This window comes from Homo sapiens, chromosome 6, assembly GCF_000001405.40.
Source record: "Homo sapiens chromosome 6, GRCh38.p14 Primary Assembly".
Classification (NCBI taxonomy): domain Eukaryota; kingdom Metazoa; phylum Chordata; class Mammalia; order Primates; family Hominidae; genus Homo; species Homo sapiens.
In genome coordinates, this window is record NC_000006.12 from 31,241,021 (window position 1) to 31,262,695 (window position 21,675).

The 21,675-nt window shown below is 42.4% G+C and overlaps 8 annotated features.

Moving 5' to 3' along the window:
* Positions 3,579-4,328: an enhancer, noted in NCBI's record as "NANOG-H3K27ac hESC enhancer chr6:31212376-31213125 (GRCh37/hg19 assembly coordinates)". NCBI's record gives its function as "activates a minimal SCP1, AML or CMV promoter by ChIP-STARR-seq in primed H9 embryonic stem cells {active_cell/tissue: H9 hESC(primed)}" and the evidence as "EXISTENCE:reporter gene assay evidence [ECO:0000049][PMID:30033119]".
* Positions 4,863-5,364: an enhancer, noted in NCBI's record as "OCT4 hESC enhancer chr6:31213660-31214161 (GRCh37/hg19 assembly coordinates)". NCBI's record gives its function as "activates a minimal SCP1, AML or CMV promoter by ChIP-STARR-seq in primed H9 embryonic stem cells {active_cell/tissue: H9 hESC(primed)}" and the evidence as "EXISTENCE:reporter gene assay evidence [ECO:0000049][PMID:30033119]".
* Positions 9,153-9,654: an enhancer, noted in NCBI's record as "OCT4 hESC enhancer chr6:31217950-31218451 (GRCh37/hg19 assembly coordinates)". NCBI's record gives its function as "activates a minimal SCP1, AML or CMV promoter by ChIP-STARR-seq in primed H9 embryonic stem cells {active_cell/tissue: H9 hESC(primed)}" and the evidence as "EXISTENCE:reporter gene assay evidence [ECO:0000049][PMID:30033119]".
* Positions 11,962-12,581: an enhancer, noted in NCBI's record as "OCT4 hESC enhancer chr6:31220759-31221378 (GRCh37/hg19 assembly coordinates)". NCBI's record gives its function as "activates a minimal SCP1, AML or CMV promoter by ChIP-STARR-seq in primed H9 embryonic stem cells {active_cell/tissue: H9 hESC(primed)}" and the evidence as "EXISTENCE:reporter gene assay evidence [ECO:0000049][PMID:30033119]".
* Positions 12,582-13,201: an enhancer, noted in NCBI's record as "OCT4 hESC enhancer chr6:31221379-31221998 (GRCh37/hg19 assembly coordinates)". NCBI's record gives its function as "activates a minimal SCP1, AML or CMV promoter by ChIP-STARR-seq in primed H9 embryonic stem cells {active_cell/tissue: H9 hESC(primed)}" and the evidence as "EXISTENCE:reporter gene assay evidence [ECO:0000049][PMID:30033119]".
* Positions 13,570-14,246: an enhancer, noted in NCBI's record as "OCT4 hESC enhancer chr6:31222367-31223043 (GRCh37/hg19 assembly coordinates)". NCBI's record gives its function as "activates a minimal SCP1, AML or CMV promoter by ChIP-STARR-seq in primed H9 embryonic stem cells {active_cell/tissue: H9 hESC(primed)}" and the evidence as "EXISTENCE:reporter gene assay evidence [ECO:0000049][PMID:30033119]".
* Positions 18,836-19,442: an enhancer, noted in NCBI's record as "OCT4 hESC enhancer chr6:31227633-31228239 (GRCh37/hg19 assembly coordinates)". NCBI's record gives its function as "activates a minimal SCP1, AML or CMV promoter by ChIP-STARR-seq in primed H9 embryonic stem cells {active_cell/tissue: H9 hESC(primed)}" and the evidence as "EXISTENCE:reporter gene assay evidence [ECO:0000049][PMID:30033119]".
* Positions 19,946-20,447: an enhancer, noted in NCBI's record as "OCT4 hESC enhancer chr6:31228743-31229244 (GRCh37/hg19 assembly coordinates)". NCBI's record gives its function as "activates a minimal SCP1, AML or CMV promoter by ChIP-STARR-seq in primed H9 embryonic stem cells {active_cell/tissue: H9 hESC(primed)}" and the evidence as "EXISTENCE:reporter gene assay evidence [ECO:0000049][PMID:30033119]".

Sequence of the window (21,675 nt, forward strand, 5' to 3'; positions counted from 1 at the left end):
CAGTGCACATTTCTTCTGAGGCTTCTTTCCTTGGCTTGTAGATGTGTTTTCCCTGTGTCTTTACATGGTCATTCCTCTGCATCTGTCTATGTCTAATCTTCTCTTTTTATAAGGACACTAGTCACATTGAATTAAGACCCACTCATATGACCTCATTTTACCTTAATGACCTCCTTAAAGACCTCTCCAAATGCAGTCACTTTCTCAGGTACTGGGGGTTAGGACACCAACATGCCAATTTTTGGAGGGATGCAATTTAGCCCATAACAGTCTGGATTAACCTGGAGACTCCTTTTCCTTCCTTCCTTCCTTCCTTCCTTCCTTCCTTCCTTTTTCTTTCTTTCTTTCTTTTTCTTTCTTCTCTTTCTTTTGTTTTCTTTTCTTTTATTGAGATGGAGCCTTGTTCTGTCACCCAGGCTGGAGTGCAGTGGCACGATCTCGGCTCACCGCAACCTCCGCTTCCCAGGTTCAAGCATTTCTCCTGTCTCAGTTTCCCGAGTAGCTGGGATTACAGATGCCTGCCACCACGCCCAGCTAATTTTTGTATTTTTAGTAGAGATGGGGTTTCACCATGTTGGCCAGGCTGGTCTCGTACTCCTGACCTTAGGTGATCTATTCACCTCGGCCTCCCAAAATGCTGGGATTACAGGCGCCAGCTACCGCTCCTGGCCGAGATTGCGTTTTCTAAAGAGTAAAACAGAGTAAATCTCTTCGGCTTAACTCTGTCTCTTAATACTCTGAAATTTTGTTCTTGCAGTGAGAACAAAAAAAAAAGACAGCCAAAGGTTGGTGTCACGCAGAAGGTGAGCCCTCCCTAACTCTGGCTGCCCCAAGACGCAGTGCTGTGTCATTCCTGAAAGTTTGCTCCATTCTAGTGATTCTGGCTCCAGCTTTTTCATTGGGAAGAGGATTCTCTCCCAGAGGAAAAACTTCTCCTGCTATGCAGGCTTATTTTCTTTATATTTGTAGGACAAAAAAGTTGATGTAATAAAAAGAATATATTTGTGAAATTTTTGTGGTAATCATTTTGATATCCTTATCGATACCCCATATTGTGATGAATATGTTGGCTTCATTTTGGCAGAAGGGACATGACACTGGACATTTTGAGCCACAATTTCTCTGGGCCTTTCCATGGGATTCAGTTTCAGCCCTGGTAGGTGAAGGGAGAGCTCTTGGTGTAGGGTTTGGTCTTTATAATAAACTATGCTTTTGGGGTAGCAGGTTTATCTCTGGAAGCATGAAGCTTAGTCAGGAGTGCGACCCTCCTCCCCATTCAAAAGGTCAAGGTAGAGCAGGTTCTTGTTCAGGGCGCAGTGAGCGAGAGAAGGGAAAGTGACAGAGCATTCTTTCACCTTTTTGTGACATGCATGCATCCAAGTCTCTGGTGTTTTAAATAACTGAAACTGAGACCTAGACCCACTTATCTGTAAAGTAGAACTGTGGAGAAGGAAGCATATCATCCCCGCCACTGGAGAGATCCCTGAAGAGAGATTTGTGAGCCCCCATTTTATCGAAAATGACACAAAATTTCATCAAAATAAAGTGAAATTGTGGCTGTAGATGGGGTTTTATTTAGAGCTTTGACTCCGCATCTGCTTCCTAAGACATGGTCCTTCCCCAGGATACTACAGAATCACAGGGCTTAGACTGGAGGGGTAAGGTGTGATGGTGTTCTTCCTTTCTGGCCGATAGGATGTTTTGGATTGTATGTATTTTCCAAAGACGGCTGCAAAAGTATCTTCCATCACACTTTGTTTTCTTTAGTTTGATCCACCATTCCCTCATCAAGAGGTAAGTTCTCTCCATCCCCTTAAACATGAGCAGATCTGATATCTGCGTTAGCCAATAAAATAGGGCAGAAACGTGGTTGTGTCAGTTCTGGGCACTGCTATTAACCATCCTGCCTGCATCTGGTTCCTTCCACTTCAATGCCTGAACCATGTTAAACTCCAAGGCCATCATCTGAGCCCAGCAAACACATAGAACCCTATGAGAAATCATTAAAAATTCTTAGTTACTATTTTCAGGAATATCCTTTTCCATCCTTTCATTTTCAACTTGTATGTGTCCTTAGATCCAAAGTGAGTATCTTGTAGCCAGCATATGGTTAGAATCTTTTTATTATATCCATTGTGATAATCTCAATTCTGATTGGGGAGTTTAATCCATTTACATTTAAAGTAATTACTGATGAAGAAGGACTTACCTCTGTAATTGTGATGGTTTTATGCATGTCTTATAGCTGTTTCATCCCTTATCTTCCTCATTCCAACCTTCCTTTGTGTTTAGTCGATTTTTTTTCTAGTGATATGTTTTAATTGCCTTCTCACTTTCTTTTGTGTATATTTTATGTATATTTTCTTTGTGATTACTATGGTATTGCACATAACAATACAACTATAACAATTTTGAATTGAAACCAGTATGAAACTCTGCTTCTTTACATCTTTTTCCACCCCTCATTTTACATTATTGATGTCACAAATTACTCCTCTGCAGGCTAGCAGGCTGGAAAGTCACAATGTTGCAGTCTTCAGTCTAAAATTTGTAAACCAGGCTGGCAGATTGGAAATCTAAACTGTAGTTGCTACTGTCATCTTGAGGCAGAATTTTTTCTTCTTTGAGAAGCCTCACATTTTGCCCAAAGGCCTTCAACTGATTCAAAAAGTCCCGCCCACATTTTTGAGGGTAATTTCCTTTTCATAAAATCAACTGACATAAGATTTTAACCACAAGTGCAAAACACCATCATAGCAACATATAAATTAGTGTTTGATTAAATAACTAGACACTATGGTTTAGTAAAATTGACACATAATACCCACCACCCGGGGGTCAGCCCCCCCGCCTGGCCAGCCGCCCTGTCCGGGAGGGAGGTGGGGGGGGTGAGCCCTCCGCCCGGCCAGCTGCCCCGTCTGGGAGGTGAGGGGCGCCTCTGCCCGGCCGCCCCTACTGGGAAGTGAGGAGTCCCTCTGCCCGGCCAGCCGCCCCGTCCGGGAGGGAGGTGGGGGGGGTCGGCCCCCCGCCCGGCCAGCCGCCCTGTCCGGGAGGGAGGTGGGGGGGTCAGCCCCCCGCCTGGCCAGCCGCCCCGTCCGGGAGGGAGGTGGGGGGGTGAGCCCTCCGCCCGGCCAGCCGCCCCGTCTGGGAGGTGAGGGGCGCCTCTGCCCGGCCGCCCCTACTGGGAAGTGAGGAGCCCCTCTGCCCGGCCAGCCGCCCCGTCTGGGAGGGAGGTGGGGGGGTCGGCCCCCCGCCCGGCCAGCCGCCCCGTCCGGGAGGGAGGTGGGGGGGTCAGCCCTCCGCCCGGCCAGCCGCCCCGTCTGGGAGGTGAGGGGCGCCTCTGCCCGGCCGCCCCTACTGGGAAGTGAGGAGCCCCTCTGCCCGGCCAGCCGCCCCGTCCGGGAGGGAGGTGGGGGGGTCGGCCCCCCGCCCGGCCAGCCGCCCCGTCCGGGAGGGAGGTGGGGAGGTCAGCCCTCCGCCCGGCCAGCCGCCCCGTCCGGGAGGGAGGTGGGGATGTCGGCCCCCCGCCCGGCCAGCCGCCCCGTCCGGGAGGGAGGTGGGGGGGTCGGCCCCCCGCCCGGCCAGCCGCCCCGTCCGGGAGGGAGGTGGGGGGGTCGGCCCCCCGCCCGGCCAGCCGCCCCGTCCGGGAGGGAGGTGGGGGGAGTCAGCCCCCCCGCCCGGCCAGCCGCCCCGTCCGGGAGGTGAGGGGCGCCTCTGCCCGGCCGCCCCTACTGGGAAGTGAGGAGCCCCTCTGCCCGGCCACCACCCCGTCTGGGAGGTGTGCCCAACAGCTCATTGAGAACGGGCCAGGATGACAATGGCGGCTTTGTGGAATAGAAAGGCGGGAAAGGTGGGGAAAAGATTGAGAAATCGGATGGTTGCCGTGTCTGTGTAGAAAGAAGTAGACATGGGAGACTTTTCATTTTGTTCTGCACTAAGAAAAATTCCTCTGCCTTGGGATCCTGTTGATCTGTGACCTTACCCCCAACCCTGTGCTCTCTGAAACATGTGCTGTGTCCACTCAGGATTAAATGGATTAAGGGCGGTGCAAGATGTGCTTTGTTAAACAGATGCTTGAAGGCAGCATGCTCGTTAAGAGTCATCACCAATCCCTAATCTCAAGTAATCAGGGACACAAACACTGCGGAAGGCCGCAGGGTCCTCTGCCTAGGAAAACCAGAGACCTTTGTTCACTTGTTTATCTGCTGACCTTCCCTCCACTATTGTCCCATGACCCTGCCAAATCCCCCTCTGTGAGAAACACCCAAGAATTATCAATAAAAAAATAAATTAAAAAAAAAAAAAAAAAAAAAAAAAAAAATACCCACCACCCTAGTCCATGCTTGTGAACTTGGCACCCATTAACGTTTTCTTAAACCATACTTAGTCTCCAAATAAAAACAATTATAAAGTCATACTTTTGCTAAAGATGATACAGCTATCTTGCATCCATCTAAAAACACTAACCATTTCCTCAGAAAAAAATTCAAACTCAATGCATGATAAGCATTTTTCTCTTCGATATACTGTAACCTAAACACCATGTTTAAAAAAAGTTGAACCATCATTAATAAAAGGGAACTATTATTAGCACATTTTATGTTTTATTACAAGATGATAAGGAAAAGATGAAAACAAAGGTATTTGCTTAGTACGTGTATGGGTACATACACACAGACATAAATATCATTGTAAAAACATAAGGAAGAAATGCTTATAACATTTACTGTCTTTATTTCTGCAACTGATCACATGGTTACAGCTGGTTATTTATTTATTTATTTATTTACTTATTTATTTGATACAGGGTCTTCTTCTGTTGCCAGGCTGGAGTGCAGTGGCATTACCTTGGCTCACTGCAAACTCCACCTCCTGGGCACAAGTGATCCTTCTACCTCAACCTCCTAAGTAGCTGGGACTGCAAGCACACCACCAAGTCTGACTAATTTTTTGTATGTATTTTCAGTAGAGATGGAATTTCAGCATGTTGCCCGGGTTGGTCTCACATTCCTCGACTTAAGGAATCCACCTGCCTCAGCCTCCCAAAGTGCTGGGGTTATAGGCATGAGCCACTGTGCTGGTCACAACTAGTGTAAATAGCTTTTTTTCACTAACCATCCCATAGTCCCACTGCCTTCAGCAAGTCCGTCAGCTGATCAGGTTTCTTTTCCTGCTTGGGTGACTCATACCTTCATTCCTGAAGGGCATGGGTCATTAGTAGTCCTGCCTGACTTGGGTTGTTGTAGTTTTTATTGACTTTAATTATAGAGCAGAGTATTACTAAGAGATGCTCTAAAAGATCTCCTGTATTTCAAACATAGTCTTATTTACTGCCATTGTGTAGTAGCAGACCAATTTCCCCCTGATGACCAGGACCAATCACCCCAGAAAGTGCAGTAACTCCTTCCTTTGTCTGTTGATTCAGTAACATGAGGAGCTGAAGGGCCCGGGTGGGTGTCTTAGCTTCCAGCTCAATGGAATAATTTCTGTGTCTCCTGAGGGAGTATTCCTCCCTTTGGTAAACCTCTAGATCCTGATCCTATTCCTCGTGACTGTGCAAGACCTCCCAACCAGGGTCTCCAGTACCTCCTACAGGTGTGTTTGGGCTGGCAACAGGTCTGTACTTTCCTGAGACAGAGCTCCCAAAGGAAAAGGCAGACTACCATCTTTGCTGTTATGTAGCTTTCACTGGTGATATCTCCAGTTACTGGAAAATCTGAGGCAACTGGGGACTGGAGCAGGCCCTCAGCAAACTGCAGCAGCCCTACAGAAAAGTGGTCAGACTATTGAAAGAGAAAACAAAAGAAGAGAAAAACAAAACCCATTCATAGATCAGCAACCTCAAAGAATGAAGATAGATAAGCCCACTAAGATGAGAATCAGCACAACAATGCTGAAAACTCAAAAAGCCAGCAAGGGTTTGGAACCAGGCTAAAGCTGAGATGACTGAAAGAGCAGAAGTAGAATTCAGAATATGGAGAGGGAAGAAGTTCACTGTGCTAAAGGAGTACAGTGTGACCCAATCCAAGGAAGCTAAAAATAATGATAAAACATTGCAGGAGCTGACAGACAAAACAGCCAGTATTATAGAAGAATGAAACCAACCTGATAAAGCTGAAAAACACACTAAAAGAATTTCATAGTGCACTCACAAGTATTAACAGCAGAATAGAACAAGTGGAGGAAAGACTCTCAGTGCTTGAAGACTGGCTTTCTAAAATAAGACAGGAAGACAAGAATAGAGAAAACAGAATGAAAAGGAACAAACAAAACCTCTGAGAAACATCAGATTATGTAAAGAAACTGAATCCATGAATTATTGGTATACCTGAAAGAGATGGGAATAATGGAATCAATTTGGAACACACTTCAAGATATCATCCATGAGAACTTTCCCAACCTAGCTAGACAGACCAACATTCAAATTCAGAAATGCAGAGGACACTAGTAAGTTACTCCATGAGAAGATCATCCCCAAGATACAATCATCAGATTCTCCATGGTTGAAATGAAAGAAAGAACGTTAAGGGCAGTCAGAGAGAAAGGCCAGGTCACCTACAAAGGGAAGCCCATTAGACTAACAGTGGACCTCCAAGTGGAAACCCTACACACCAGAAGAGATTGAGGGCCAGTATTGAACATTGTTAAAGAAAAGAATTTCCAACCCACAATTTCATATCCAGCCAAACTAAGCTTCATAAGCAAAAAAGAAATAAAATTCTTTTCAGACAAACAAATGCCAAGGGAATTCATTACCATCAGACCTGCATTACAAGAACTCCTAAAAGAAGCACTAAATATGGAAAGGAAAGACAGTTACCAGCCACTACAAAAACAAGCTGAAGTACATAGACCAGTGACGCAATAAAGCAACCACATAAGCAAGTCTGCAAAGTAACCAGCTAACACCATGATGACAGGATCAAATCCATACATATCAATACTAACCTTAAATGTAAATGGGCTAAATGCCACATTTAAAAGACACAGAAGGGCAAGCTGGATAAAGAACCAAGACCTATCAGTATGCTGCCTACAATACACTCATCTTACATTCAATGACACACATAGGCACAAAATAAAGAGATGGAGGAAAATTTTCCAAGCAAATGGAAAGCGGAAGAAAGCCAGGGTTGCAATCCTAGTTTCTGACAACACAGACTTTAAACCAAGAAAGATAAAAAAAGATAAAGGTGGGCATTACATAATGGTAAAGGGTTCAATTCAATGAAGAGATCTAACTATCCTAAATATGTATGCATCCAATAGAGGAACACCCAGATTTATAAGGCAGGTTCTTAGAGACCGTCAAAGAGATTTAGAACCTCACACAGTAGAAGTGGTGGACTTTAATACCCCACTGACAATATTAGACAGATCATCAAGACAGAAAATTAACAAAGATATTCAGGACCTGAATTCAGCCCTGGAGCAAATGGACCTGATAGATATTTACAGAACTCCGGACCCCAGAACAACAGAATATACATTTTTCTCATTGCCACATGGCGCTTACTCTAAAATCAATCACACAATCAGAAGTAAAACACTCCTCAGCAAATGCAAAAGAACTGAAATCATAACAAATAGTCTCTCAGACTACAGTGCAATCAAATTCAAAATCAAGAATAAGAAATTCACTAAAACCATATAATTACTTAGAAATTAAATAACCTGTTCTTGAATGACTTTTAGTAAATAATGAAATTAAGGTAGAAATCAAGAAGTTCTTTGAAACTAATGAGAAAAAAGATACAATGAACCAGAACCTCTGGGAAACAGCTAAGGCAGTGTTAAGAGGGAAATTTATAGCAGTAAATGCCCACATCAAAAAGTTAGAAAGATCTCAAGTCAACAACCTAAAATCAAACCTATAAGAACTTAAGAATGAAGAGCAAACATATCCCGAAGCTAGCAGAAGACAAGAAATAACAAAAAAAAATTAACAAAAGTATTGTCTCCTGAAGGAGACAGAGACACAAAAAACCATTTGAAGGATCAATAAATTCAGGAGGTTTTTTAAAAGAAATTAATAAAATAGACCACTAGCTAAGCTAATAAAGAAGAAAAGAGAGAAAATTCCAATAAACACAATCAGAAACAATAAGAGGAACATTACCTCTGACCCCACAGAAATACAAGCAACCACCAGAAAATATTATGAACACTTCTATGCGCATAAACTAGAAAATCTAGAAGAAATGGATAAATTCCTGGACACATACACCGCCCCCAAGACTGAACCAGGAAGAAATGCAATCTCTGAAAAAATAATGAGTTCTGAACTTGAGGCAGTAATGAAGAGCCTACCAAAAAAAAAAAAAAAAAGTGCAGGACCAGATGATTGACAGGTGAATTCTACTGGATGTACAAAGAAGAGATGGTACCATTCCTATTGAAACTATTCCCAAAAAATGAGGAGGAGAGACTCCTCCCTAACTCATTCTATTAGGCCAGCATCATCCTGATACCAAAATGTGGCAGAGATACAACAACAACAAACAAGAGAAAACATCAGGCCAGTATTCTTGATGAACATTAATGCAAAAATCTCCAACAAAATGCTGGCAAACCGAATCCTGCAGCACATCAAAAACCTTATCCATCACAATCAAGTAGGCTTCATCGCCAGGATGCAAGGTTAGTTCAACATATGCAAATCAATAAATGTGATTCATCACATAAACAGAACTAAAGACAAAAACTACATGATTGTCTCAGTTGATGAAGAAAAGGCTTTTCATAAAATTCAAACTCTATTCATGTTTTTAAAAAAACTCTCAATAAACTAGGTGTTCAAGGAATATACCTCAAAACAATAAAAGCCATCTATGACAAACCCACAGCCAACTTCATACTGAATGGGCAAAACTAGAAGCATTCTCCTTGAAATCAGCACAAGACAAGGATGCCTTCTCTCACTGCTCCTGTTCAACACAGTATTGGAAATTCTGACCAGGGCAATCAGGCAAGTGAAATTAAAAAAAAAAAAAAAAAAGAAGGATGTTCAAATAGGAAGAGAGGAATTCAAATGATTCCTGTTTGCAGATGACATGATTCTATAACTAGAAAAACCCATAGCCTCAGTCCAAAAGCTTCTTAAGCTGATAAACAACTTCAGCAAATTCTCAAGATACAAAATCAACGTGCAAAAATTACTAGCATTTCTACACACCGACAACAGGCAAGCCAAGAGCCAAAGCAGGAATGAACTCCCACTCACAATTGCCACAAAAGGAATACAATACCTAGGAATAATGCTAATTTGGGAGGTAAAAGATGTCTGCAAAGAGAACTACTGGTCCCAAAAAGTGTGCATTAATGTTAGCAGTAGCTATGATAGGCTGGGTGGAATGCCCATAGGTGGTGTTTGCAGGTAGGTGACAGCTAAGGTGATAGCACCCAACCTCAGTTACCCAGGAGGAGTTCTCAGGTGTCCACAGTGGTGGATTGGGTTGAGCAATTCCCAGGACCCTGGGCTGTGTTCTCTGTCTCAGTGGAAAAAGGAAATGAAGCTGTCTTTTCATCATTAAATGCTGTGCCAACTAGTCCCTTAATTTTCTTTTTGCCTGAAGGACTGAAAAACATTTATTATAGTTTAGATCTGCTAGTTATAACTTTTTTCACTCCCTATATAACTAAAATCTATTTTTCGATAGCTATATTCATGGTATGTTAATTGGTTAATTAGTTTGATTTAATCATTACACATGGTATACATATATCAGTACATCACAAAACATCTCATGAATGTATTATGATTTGTCAATTTAAATTATACATATATATGTTTTAGAAAGGTATTATTTTCTGGGAATAGAATCTAGTTTCACAGTATTTTCCTTTTAGGACTTTAAAGATGTTGCTCATCTGTCTTCTCATTTGCATTGTTTCCAGTGAAATAACGGCTGTCATCTTTATTATTATTCTCATGTCTTTTTTTTTACTTTCTGCTTATTCATTTTTCTCTCCTTCTGTTTTCAACAAATACATGTTTTTTTCACCCACAGTTATAGAATGAACTTGAGCAACAATCTATAGGAATGGCTTTTTGACTGTTGGTTGAAAATTTTTAGAAACAGTTGTTTGTTCCTTGTTTTATTAGGACAAAGGCTAATTTCCTCAGAATATTCTTAAATTGAAGAATGTCATAATTAATTTTATTTGTCATCTTGGCTGAACCACAATGCCCAGATAGGTGATCAAGCATTATTCTGGATGATTTGTGAGAATGTTTCTTGGATAACATTAATGCAAAATAACTAGACTTTGAGTAAAGTAGATTGATCTCTGTAATGTGGGTGGGCTTCATTCAATTCATTGAAGGTGTAAATTAAACAAAACATTGACCTTCTCTGAGCAAGATGGAACTCTGCAGCAGAAAGCGCTGGGATTTGAACTGCAATATCCGTCAACTGATCTCAAACAGCTGGTTGGTTTGTGTACAGCATTTGGAAGATGAATGGACAACATCCTGTTTGGAAGTCCACCGCTTTGATCGAAGAAGATAAAAACAGAACAACTCTTGTGGGCTGAATTGCAGGATGTTTCTCAGCAGTGGTGGAAGAATTGAACAATAATAAAGCTCCTATGTTTTAGTTTTTATTGACTTACAGGCAGTGACTAATGGCCTGGCCATATAATTAATCAGGAAAGCAAAGGAAAACTTGCCGATGAAAAGAGTGCCCAAATGAGACACAGTCCTATGGAAATCACGATGGTAATTTGAGAGGTTCATTAATGTAAGACACGTTGATGCCTGATATAGAGTGGATGTTGTTCTTGCCCGAATCTCATGTTGGATGGAATCCCCAGCATTAGAGGTGGGACCTGCAGGGAGATGATTGGATCACGGGGGCAGTTTCTCATGAATGGTTTAGCACCGTCCCCTCAGTGCCCATCAATGCCCATCAGAATAACTCCCTTCCAGGTTTGGAAGGTGATTGAAATAAACAAGCATTTATCTCCAAGTGTTTGCCAGGTGCACCTGTAATTCCAGCTATGAGAGCAGCTGAGGCAGAAGGATATCTTGAGTCCAGGAGTTAGAGTTTGGCCTGAGCAGCATTTGAGTTCAGCCAGAGAAAGATATCAAGACCACATCTAACAAAAATCCACGTTTGCTTGCGGTGATCACCTAGGTCCATGAAGTAAGTAGACACTGGGGCTGTAGCAATGCAGAGAGAGGTGGAATCAAGGCATATTCCTCTTGCATTCCCCACGTCACAGGCATAAAATACATATAAGTGTTTTCTTTAACAAAAAAAAAAAAGAGAGAGAGACAGAGATAGCATATGGCTATGTGGCAGATTCTCTTATGGGAAGATCTTGAAAATACAGAGCTGGCAAGTTACACTGATACCAGTAGACCCAGGAAGCAGCAAATGGGTCTTGGCAGCAATAGATATGCACCCTGGAGCTGGGCATTGCTCAGCTGGTGGTAGATGTGCTACCAAACTGAACTGGAGTCCACTCACCTGGGGCAGTAAAAACAAACATCCATACTGAGATTTTGTAGTGAGAGAAAGGAGGGCATTTATTTGTAGGGTGCCAAGCAAGGAGAATCAGCTAGCTTACAGTTAAGACCCAACCTTCTCAATGGCTCACAAGCAAGGTTTCTTAAAGACAGGGGTAAATTTCAGGAAAGCAGAGTTACAGGCAACATCATAAATCAATGCATAGAAGTTACACACTGGTTTGGCCTTAAAAGGAGGAATATCCTGATGAGGGAGCTTACAAGTCGTAGATAGAGATAAAAGATTCTCTGATTTGCGATTCATAAGGAAGCAAAGCTTCCTTACACAGTTGGGGGCAGTAGAGAGGAATGTTCAGGCCTGGCCTGTGGGCTTTACTCTCTCCAGGCCCCTCAGGAAGAAATTTAGAACAAAGAACAGTGGTCAGAGTTCAGTCCTCAGTTTCCCCTTATCTGAGGTCAGTGGATCTATTAGGTGGGAATCCGAGTTTCTGAAAAACAACTCAGGGACATATGTTAAGATGTTCTCTTTAGTTTCCATAGAGAATCCAACATCTTGTGACTCTAACTTCCTTGGCTATCGTTTTAAGCTATCATTACCTTCTTGTTTATAAGGTCACTCACTTAATTTTTAGGGCTGGCTAGGTGCCTGGAATTTCTTTTGAAGGAACTGAAGGTTTTTCTTTATTTCCATGTTGGGAGGCCCTGGCAGGCTTCTAAGAGAGGTCCCTGCTTTATCTCAGATGCAAATGCTTGGAGTGCTACTAAGAGCTTGAATGGGAGGTACTGCAACCATGTGGACCACTGAGTCACATTTCTTTACACCAGAAAATGCGCTTGCTCAAAATGTCAGAAAGACATCCTTCTCAGAGGAAGAGTTCCATAGAGAATTAAAATATTCCATTGAAACATTGGTTGTATAAAGCAAGAGTGGGGAAACAAGCATGAAGGGTGGGCTTACACACCTTCATGAGTGTGCTTACACTTGATATGAAAGTATCCTCTCTTTTCCTTGTGGATCAGGGGAAGGTGCTGGTGTGATCTATATACAATCCTTCCCAAGGTGGGAGGACACTGGAATGATGACTGTACTTTACCTCAACTTGCTTTTCTCATACCTGATGCAGTAGTCTCAGGACTAGGGATGCAAATAAAAGTCCAGAAACAGGAATTATTCCTAAGCAAGAAACTGTAAATATATTTTGTGTCCATTATGTAATGATTCCTAAGGGTCTGGAGAAGTAGGTTGTGCCTTCACTGCATCTGGCAAAGTTGGGGTTAACACTGAATGCAGCTGTATTGCCTAGGGTCAGATAGCCAACCAGTTCTCTACTGCATAACCCTACCCTCTATGAACTGGAATGGATGATGCAAGACAATTGCTAGAACAGTATTGGTCCCTGCAGTCTAGGTCAGCACAGCAGCAGAACCTCATGTCCCTTCCATAACTAGAAATGTTTGGTATAAATGAAGAGAAGGAGAAATAGTAGCTGAGGGTAAATGAATGAATAAATGGGTTATGCAATGAGGAAAATCCAATGTTACATGAACTACTCAAAAGAGATATAAGCAAGAGATGATATTGTCTCTTAACTCAATTTTACCAAATGCCTGAACGGGTGCAGCCATATGTTGCTGAGACTACTCCTGTTTTTGGGCTGCAACGGGACAATTTTTTTTATTATACTTTAAGTTCTAGGGTACATGTGCACAACATGCAGGTTGGTTACCTATGTGTACATGTGCCATGTCGGTGTGCTGCACCCATTAACTCGTCATTTGCATTAGGTATTTCTCCTAATGCTATCCCTCCCCCCTGTCCCCACCCCATGACAGGCCCTGGTGTGTGATGTTCCCCACCCTGAGTTCAAGTGTTCTGATTGTTCAATTCCCACCTATGAGTGAGAACATGCGGTGTTTGGTTTTCTATCCTTGTAATAGTTTGCTCAGAATGATGGTTTCCAGCTTCATCCACGTCCCTGCAAAGGACATGAACTCATCCTTTTTTATGGCTGCATAGTATTCCATGGTGTATTTGTGACACATTTTCTTTTTTTCTTTTCTTTTTTTTTTTTTTTTTTGAGATGGAGTCTTGCTCTGTCGCCCAGGCTGGAGTGCAGTGGCGCAATCTCGCTCACTGCAAGCTCTGCCTCCTGGGTTCATGCCATTCTCCTGCCTCAGCCTCCCAAGTAGCTGGGACTATAGGCACCCGCCACCATGACCAGCTAATTTTTTTGTATTTTTAGTAGAGACGGGGTTTCACTGTATTAGGCAGGATGGTCTCGATCTCCTGACCTCGTGATCCACCCACCTCAGTCTCCCAAAGTGCTGGGATTACAAGTGTGAGCCACTGCACCCGGCTTATGTGCCACATTTTCTTAATCCAGTCTATCACTGATGGACATTTGGGTTGGTTCCAAGTATTTGCTATTGTGAATAGTGCAGTAAACATACATGTGCATTTATAGTAGCATGATTTATAATCCTTTGGGTATATACCCAGTAATGGGATGGCTGGGTCAAATGGTATTTCTAGTTCTAGATCCTTGAGGAATTGCCACACTGTCTTCCACAGTGGTTGAACTAGCTTACACTCCCACCAACAGTGTAAAAGTGTTCCTATTTCTCCATATCCTCTCCAGCACCTGTGGTTTCCTGACTTTTTAATGATTGCCATTCTAACTGGTGTGAGATAGTATCTCCTTTTGGTTTTGATTTGCATTTCTTTGATGACCAGTGATGATGAGCATTTTTTCATGTGTCTGTTGGCTGCATAGATGTCTTCTTTTGAGAAGTGTCTGTTCATATCCTTTGCCTACTTTTTGATGGGGTTGTTTGATTTTTTCTTGTAAATTTGTTTAAGTTCTTTGTAGATTCTGGATATTAGTCCTTTGTCAGATGGGTAGATTACAAAAATTTTCTCCCATTCTGTAGGTTGCCTTTTCACTCTGATGGTAGTTTCTTTTGCTGTGCAGAAGCTCTTTAGTTTAATTAGATCCCATTTGTCAATTTTGGCTTTTGTTGCCATTGCTTTTGGTGTTTCAGTCATGAAGTCCTTGCCCATGTCTATGTCCTGAATGGTATTGCCTAGGTTTTCTTCTAGGGTTTTTATGGTTTTAGGTCTAACATTTAAGTCTTTAATCCATCTTGAATTAATTTTTGTATAAGGTATAAGGAAGGGATCCAGTTTCAGCTTTCTACTATGGCTAGCCAGTTTTCCCAGCACCATTTATTAAATAGGGAATCCTTTCCCCATTTCTTGTTTTTGTCAGGTTTGTCAAAGATCAGATACTTGTAGATGTGTGATATTATTTCTGAGGGCTCTGTTCTGTTCCATTGGTCTATATCTCTGTTTTGGTTCCAGTACCATGCTGTTTTTGTTACTGTAGACTTGTAATATAGTTTGAAGTCAGGTAGTGTGATGCCTCCAGCTTTGTTCTTTTGGCTTAGGATTGTCTTGGCAATGCAGGTTCTTTTTTGGTTCCATATGAACTTTAAAGTAGTTTTCTCCAATTCTGTGAAGAAAGTCATTGGTAGGTTGATGGGGATGGCATTGAATCTATAAATTACCATGGGCAGTATGGCCATTTTCACAACATTGATTCTTCCTATTCATGAGCATGGAATGTTCTTCCATTTGTTTATGTCCTCTTTTATTTCGTTGAGTAGTGGTTTGTAGTTCTCCTTGAAGAGGTCCTTCACATCCCTTGTAAGTTTTATTCCTAGGTATTTTATTCTCTTTGAAGCAATTGTGAATGGGAGTTCACTCATGATTTGGCTCTCTGTTTGTCTGTTATTGGTGTATAGGAATACTTGTGATTTTTGCACATTGATTTTGTATCCTGAGACTTTGCTGAAGTTGCTTATCAGCTTAAGGAGATTTTGGGCTGAGATGATGGGGTTTTCTAAACATCCAATCATGTCATCTGCAAACAGGGACAATTTGACTTCCTCTTTTCCTAATTGAATACCCTTTATTTCTTTCTCTTGTCTGATTGCCCTGGCCAGAATTTCCAACACTATGTTGAGTAGGAGTGGTGAGAGAGGGCATCCCTGTCTTGTGCCAGTTTTCAAAGGGAATGCTTCCAGTTTTTGCCCATTCAGTATGATATTGGCTGTGGGTTTGTCATAAATAGCTCTTATTATTTTGAGATATGTCCCATCAATACCTAGTTTATTGAGAGTTTTTGGCATGAAGGGCTGTGGAATTTTGTTGAAGGCATTTTCTGCATCTATTGAAATAATCATGTGGTTTTTGTCTTTGGTTCTGTTTATATGCTGGATTACGTTTATTGATTTGTGTATGTTGAACCAGCCTTGCATCCCAGGGATGAAGCCCACTTGATCATGGTGGATAACCTTTTTGATGTGCTGCTGGATTCGGTTTGCCAGTGTTTTATTGAGGATTTTTGCATCCATGTTCATCAGGGATATTGGTCTAAAATTCTCTTTTTTTTTGTTGTGTCTCTGCCAGGCTTTGGTATCAGGATGATGCCAACCTCATAAAATAAGTTAGGGAGGATTCCCTCGTTTTCTATTGATTGGAATAGTTTCAGAAGGAATGGTACCAGCTCCTCTTTGTACCTCTGTTAGAATTCGGCTGTGAATCCATCTGGTCCTGGACTTTTTTGGGTTGGTAGGCTATTAATTATTGCCTCAATTTCAGAGCCTATTATTGGTCTATTCAGGGATTCAACTTCTTCCTGGTTTAGTCTTGGGAGGGTGTATGTGTCCAGGAATTTATCCATTTCTTCTAGATTTTCTAGATTATTTGCATAGAGATATTTACAGTATTCTCTGATGGTAGTTTGTATTTCTGTGGGATCGGTGGTGATATCCCCTTTATCATTTTTTATTGTGTCTATTTGATTCTTCTCTCTTTTTTTCTTTATTAGTCTTGCTAATGGTCTATCAATTTTGTTGATCTTTCCAAAAAACCAGCTGCTGGATTCATTGATTTTTTGAAGGGTTTTTTGTGTCTCTATCTTCTTCAGTTCTGCTCTAATCTTAGTTATTTCTTGTCTTCTGCTAGCTTTTGAATGTGATTGCTCTTGCTTCTCCAGTTCTTTTAATTGTGATGTTAGGCTGTCGATTTTAGATCTTTCCTGCTTTTTCTTGCAGGCATTTAGTGCTACAAATTTCCCTCTACACACTGCTTTAAATGTGTCCCAGAGATTCTGGTATGTTGTGTCTTTGTTCTCATTGGTTTCAAAGAATATCTTTATTTCTACCTTCATTTCGTTATGTACCCAGTAGTCATTCAGGAGCAGGTTGTTCAGTTTCCATGTAGTTGAGTGGTTTTGAGTGAGTTTCTTAATCCTGAGTTCTAATTTGATTGCACTGTGGTCTGAGAGACAGTTTGTTATAATTTCTATTCTTTTACATCTGCTAAGGAGTGCTTTACTTCCAACTATGTGGTCAATTTTGGAATAAGTGCGATGTGGTGCTGAGAAGAAGGTATTTTCTGTTGATTTGGGGTGGAGAGTTCTGTCGATGTCTATTAGGTCTGCCTGGTGCAGAGCTGAGTTCAAGTCCTGGATATCCTTGTTAACTTTCTGTCTCGTTGATCTGTCTAATGTTGACAGTGGGGTGTTAAAGTCTCCCATTATTATTGTGTGGGAGTCTAAGTCTTTTTGTAGGTCTCTAAGGACTTGCTTTATGAATCTGGGTGCTCCTGTATTGGGTGCATATATATTTAGGATAGTTAGCTCTTCCTGTTGAATTGATTCCTTTACCATTATGTAATGGCCTTCTTTGTCTCTTTTGATGTTTGTTGGTTTAAAGTCTGTTTTATCAGAGACTAGGATTGCAACCCCTGCTTTTTTTGTTTTCCATTTGCTTGGTAGATCTTCCTCCATTCCTTTATTTTGAGCCTATGTGTGTCTCTGCACATGAGATGGGTTTCCTGAATACAGCACACTGATGGGTCTTGACTCTTTATCCAATTTGCCAGTCTGTGTCTTCTAATTGGGACATTTAGCCCATTTACATTTAAGGTTAATATTGTTATGTGTGAATTTGACCCTATCGTTATGATGTTAGCTGGTTATTTTGCCTGTTAGTTGATGCAGTTTCTTCCTAGCATCGATAGTCTTTACAATTTGGCATATTTTTGCAGTGGCTGGTACTGGTTGTTCCTTTCCATGTTAGTGCTTCCTTCAGGAGCTCTTGTAAGGCAGGCCTGGTGGTGACAAAACCTCTCAGCATTTGCTTGTCTGTAAAGGCTCTTATTTCTCCTTTACTTATGAAGCTTAGTTTGGCTGGATATGAAATTCTGGGTTGAAAATTCTTTTCTTTAAGAATGTTGAATATTGGCCCCCACTCGCTTCTGGCTTGTAGAGTTTCTGCCAAGAGATCCACTGTTAGTCTGATGGGCTTCCCTTTGTGGGTAACCTGACCTTTCTCTCTGGCTGCCCTTAACATTTTTTCCTTCATTTCAACCTTATTGAATCTGACAATTATATGTCTTTGGGTTGCTCTTCTTGAGGAGTATCTTTGTGGTGTTCTCTGTATTTCACAAATTTGAAGTTTGGCCTGCCTTGCTAGGTTGGGGAAGTTCTCCTGGATAATATCCTGAAGAGTGTTTTCCAACTTGGTTCCATTCTCTCGGTCATTTTCAGGTACACCAATCAAATGTAGATTTGGTCTTTTCACATAGTCCCATATTTCTTGGAGGCTTTGTTCATTTCTTTTTACTCTTTTTTCTCTCAACTTCTCTGCTCGCTTCATTTCATTCATTTGATCTTCAATCACCGATACCCTTTCTTCCACTTGATCGAATTGGTTACTGAAGCTTGTGCATGCGTCATGTAGTTCTCATGCCATGGTTTTCAGCTCCATCAGGTCATTTAAGGTCTTCTCTATGCTGTTTATTGTAGTTAACCATTCATCTAATCTTTTTTCAAGGTTTTTAGCTTCCTTGCAATGGGTTCGAACATCCTCCTTTAGCTCGGAGAAGTTTGTTATTACCAATCTTCTGAAGCCTATTTCTGTCAGCTTGTCAAAGTCATTCTCCATCCAGCTTTGTTCCATTGCTAGGGAGGAGTTGCGATCTTTTGGAGGAGAACAGGTGCTCTGATTTTTAGAATTTTTAGCTTTTCTGCTCTGGTTTCTCCCCATCTTTGTGGTTTTATCTACCTTTGGTCTTTGATGATGGTGACCTACAGATGGGGTTTTGGTGTAGATGTCCTTTTTGTTGATGTTATTCTTTCTGTTTGTTAGTTTTCCTTCTAACAGTCAGGACCCTCAGCTGCAGGTCTATTGGAGTTTGCTGGAGGTCCACTCCAGACCCTGTTTGCCTGGGTAACACCAGCAGAGGCTGCAGAACAGCAAATATTGCAGAACAGCAAATGTTGCTGCCTGATCCTTCCTCTGGAAGTTTCGTCTCAGAGGGGCACCCGGCCGTATGAGGTGTCATTCGGTCCCTACTGGGAGGTGTCTCCCAGGTAGGCTACTCAGAGGTCAGCGACGCACTTGAGGAGGCAATCTGTCCGTTCTCAGATCTCAAACTCCATGCTGGTAGAACCACTGCTCTCTTCAAAGCTGTCAGACTGGGACATTTAAGTCTGCAGAAGTTTCTGCTGCCTTTTGTTCAGCTATGCCCTGCCCCCAGAGGTGGAGTCTACAGAGGCAGGCAGGCCTTGTTGAGCTGCAGTGGGCTCCACCTAGTTTGAGCTTCCTGCCACTTTGTTTACCTAGTCAAGCCTCAGCAATGGCAGACGCCCCTCCCCCAGCCTCACTGTCACCTCCCAGTTCAATTTTGGACTGCTGTGTTAGCAGTGAGCAAGGCTCCATGGGTGTGAGACCCACTGAGCCAGGCGTGGGATATAATCTCCTAGTGTGCCATTCACTACAACTGTTGGAAAAGCACAGTATTAGGGTGGGAGTGTCCCGATTTTCCAGGTACAATCTCTCATGTTTTCCCTTGGCTAGGAAAGGGAATTCCCCGAGCCCTTGTGCTTCCCTGGTGAGGCAATGCCTTGCCCTGCTTCAGCTCACACTCTGTGGGCAGCACCCACTGTGTGACAAGTCCCAATGAGATGAACCCAGTACCTCAGTTAGAAATGCAGAAATCACCCGTCTTCTGCACCGCTCACGCTGGGAGCTGTAGACTGGAGCGGTTCCTATTTGGTTATCTTGGAATGATCTCCCCTGGGATAATTGTTCATGACCAAAAAGGATTCTGGTAATGTACCAGGATCTTCTCACTGTTATGATTCTTCTGGTATAGGAGATCTGTGATTGGCCAGGCACAGTGGCTCAGACTTGTAATTCCATCAGTTTCGGAGGCCATGGTAGGAGGATTGTTTAAGGCCAGGAGTTTGAGACCAACCAGGGCAAAATAGTGAGACCCCATTCCTACAAAATCTTTAAAAAATTAGTTGGGCATGCTGGTGTGCACCTGTAATGCTATTGCTCAGGAGGCTGAGGCAGGAGGATAACTTGAGCCCAGGAATTCAAGGTTACAATGAGCTATGATTGTGCCACTGCATTCTACCCTGGGCAACAGAGCAAGACCTTGTCTCTGAAATAAATAAATATTATAAAAAGAGATAATGTGGTCAAAGACCAGGGTGTGATCTGTGGCCCAATCAAAATATTTGGTCTTTTTCCCTGTTTCCTGACAAGCAGGTTCCAAAACATTTGCAATCTCCTCAGTGATAAGTATGACTTTAATATGCCAATGAGATGACTATGGGGTGAGGGGCTCCTAAATAGCTTCAGGATGGGGGCTGGTTGCCAGAAACATGAAGCTGTGATTAGAGGATTGGAACTTTCAGCACCATCTCTTACCTCTGAGAAGCAAAGAGGGGCTGGAAGTTGAGTTCAGTCACCAGTGGCCATTGATTTAATTAATCTTGCGTACACAATGAAACTTCCATAGAAACCTCTAGAGATTGGGTTTCGGAGAGCTTCCCAACTGGTGAGTACATCCGTGTGTCCATGTGCTGGGAGGATGGTGAACCTCATCTCCATGGGGACAGAGGCTCCTGTGCTCAGAGCCCTTCCAGGCCTCACCCTATGCACCTCTTCATCTGGCTGCTCATTTGTACCCTTTATAACTGCTATGGTTTGAATGTTTCCCTAGAAAAGCATCTGTTGGATAATTCATCCTGAATGCAACATTTTTAAGAGGTGGGACCTTCGAGAGGTGATTGGACCATCAGAGCTCTGCCCCCATTAATGAATTAAGTCTGATCATAAAAGGACCTGAGGCTGTGAGTTTGACCTCTTATTCCCCCTACCTCTCACCCTCTCTTGCCCTTTTGCTTTCTACCAGGTACAGTCCTTGGTCTTGGAATTCCCATCCTCAACAACCATGAACAAAATAAATTTCTGTTCATTTTAAGTTATCCAGTCTCAGGTGTTCTACTATAGTGGCATAATTTAAACCAAGAGTCTGTAACCCCCGGCTGTGGACTGGTACAGGTTCCTGGCTTGGCAGGAACCAGACCGCACAGCAGGTCACTAGTGGGTGAGAGAGCATGAGCATGACCACCTGAGCTCCGCCTCCTGTCAGATCAGTGGCGGAATTAGATTCTCATAAGAGCATGAACCCTATTGTGAACTCTGCATGCGAGGGATCTAGGTTGCATGCTCCATATGAAACAGTAATGCCTGATCATCTGAGGTGGAACAGTTTCATCCTCAATGCATTCCCCCCTATTCCCTGCTACCTCTGCTGGTCCATGGAAAAATTGTCTTCCATGAAATTGGTCCCTGGTGCCAAAAAGTTGGGGACCACTGATTTAAGCTATAACAATAATAAACTACGATACTGAGTGTGAAAGAAAAATAAAATTTAGGGACACCAAATTCACTATACCAAAGGGACAAGTTAAGTTTGGTAACTGAGTGATGGAAAAACTGCCTTTCTTTTGTTCCTAAACAAATAACTGCAAAGATTGAGGACCACATATCTCCCCAGGTGGCCTCCCTCACAAATTGTTCACAAGATAATTCCTTGTGGGCCCCAACATCTTTACTCTAAAACAGAGTTTTGTTGAATTTCACCCTAACAATGTAAATTAACAGCTTATCTTCACAGGTACAGGACAAAGACAAGACCAGAAATCATCCCTCCACTCGCCTGGAGACAAATGTGTATTTGACTTCTCTACCCAACATTTACTTTGTCTTATGTAAAATGCAGATTTACTGAGCACTCGATGAAAGCATAGTTGCCTGTTCCTTTTTCCTCTCCT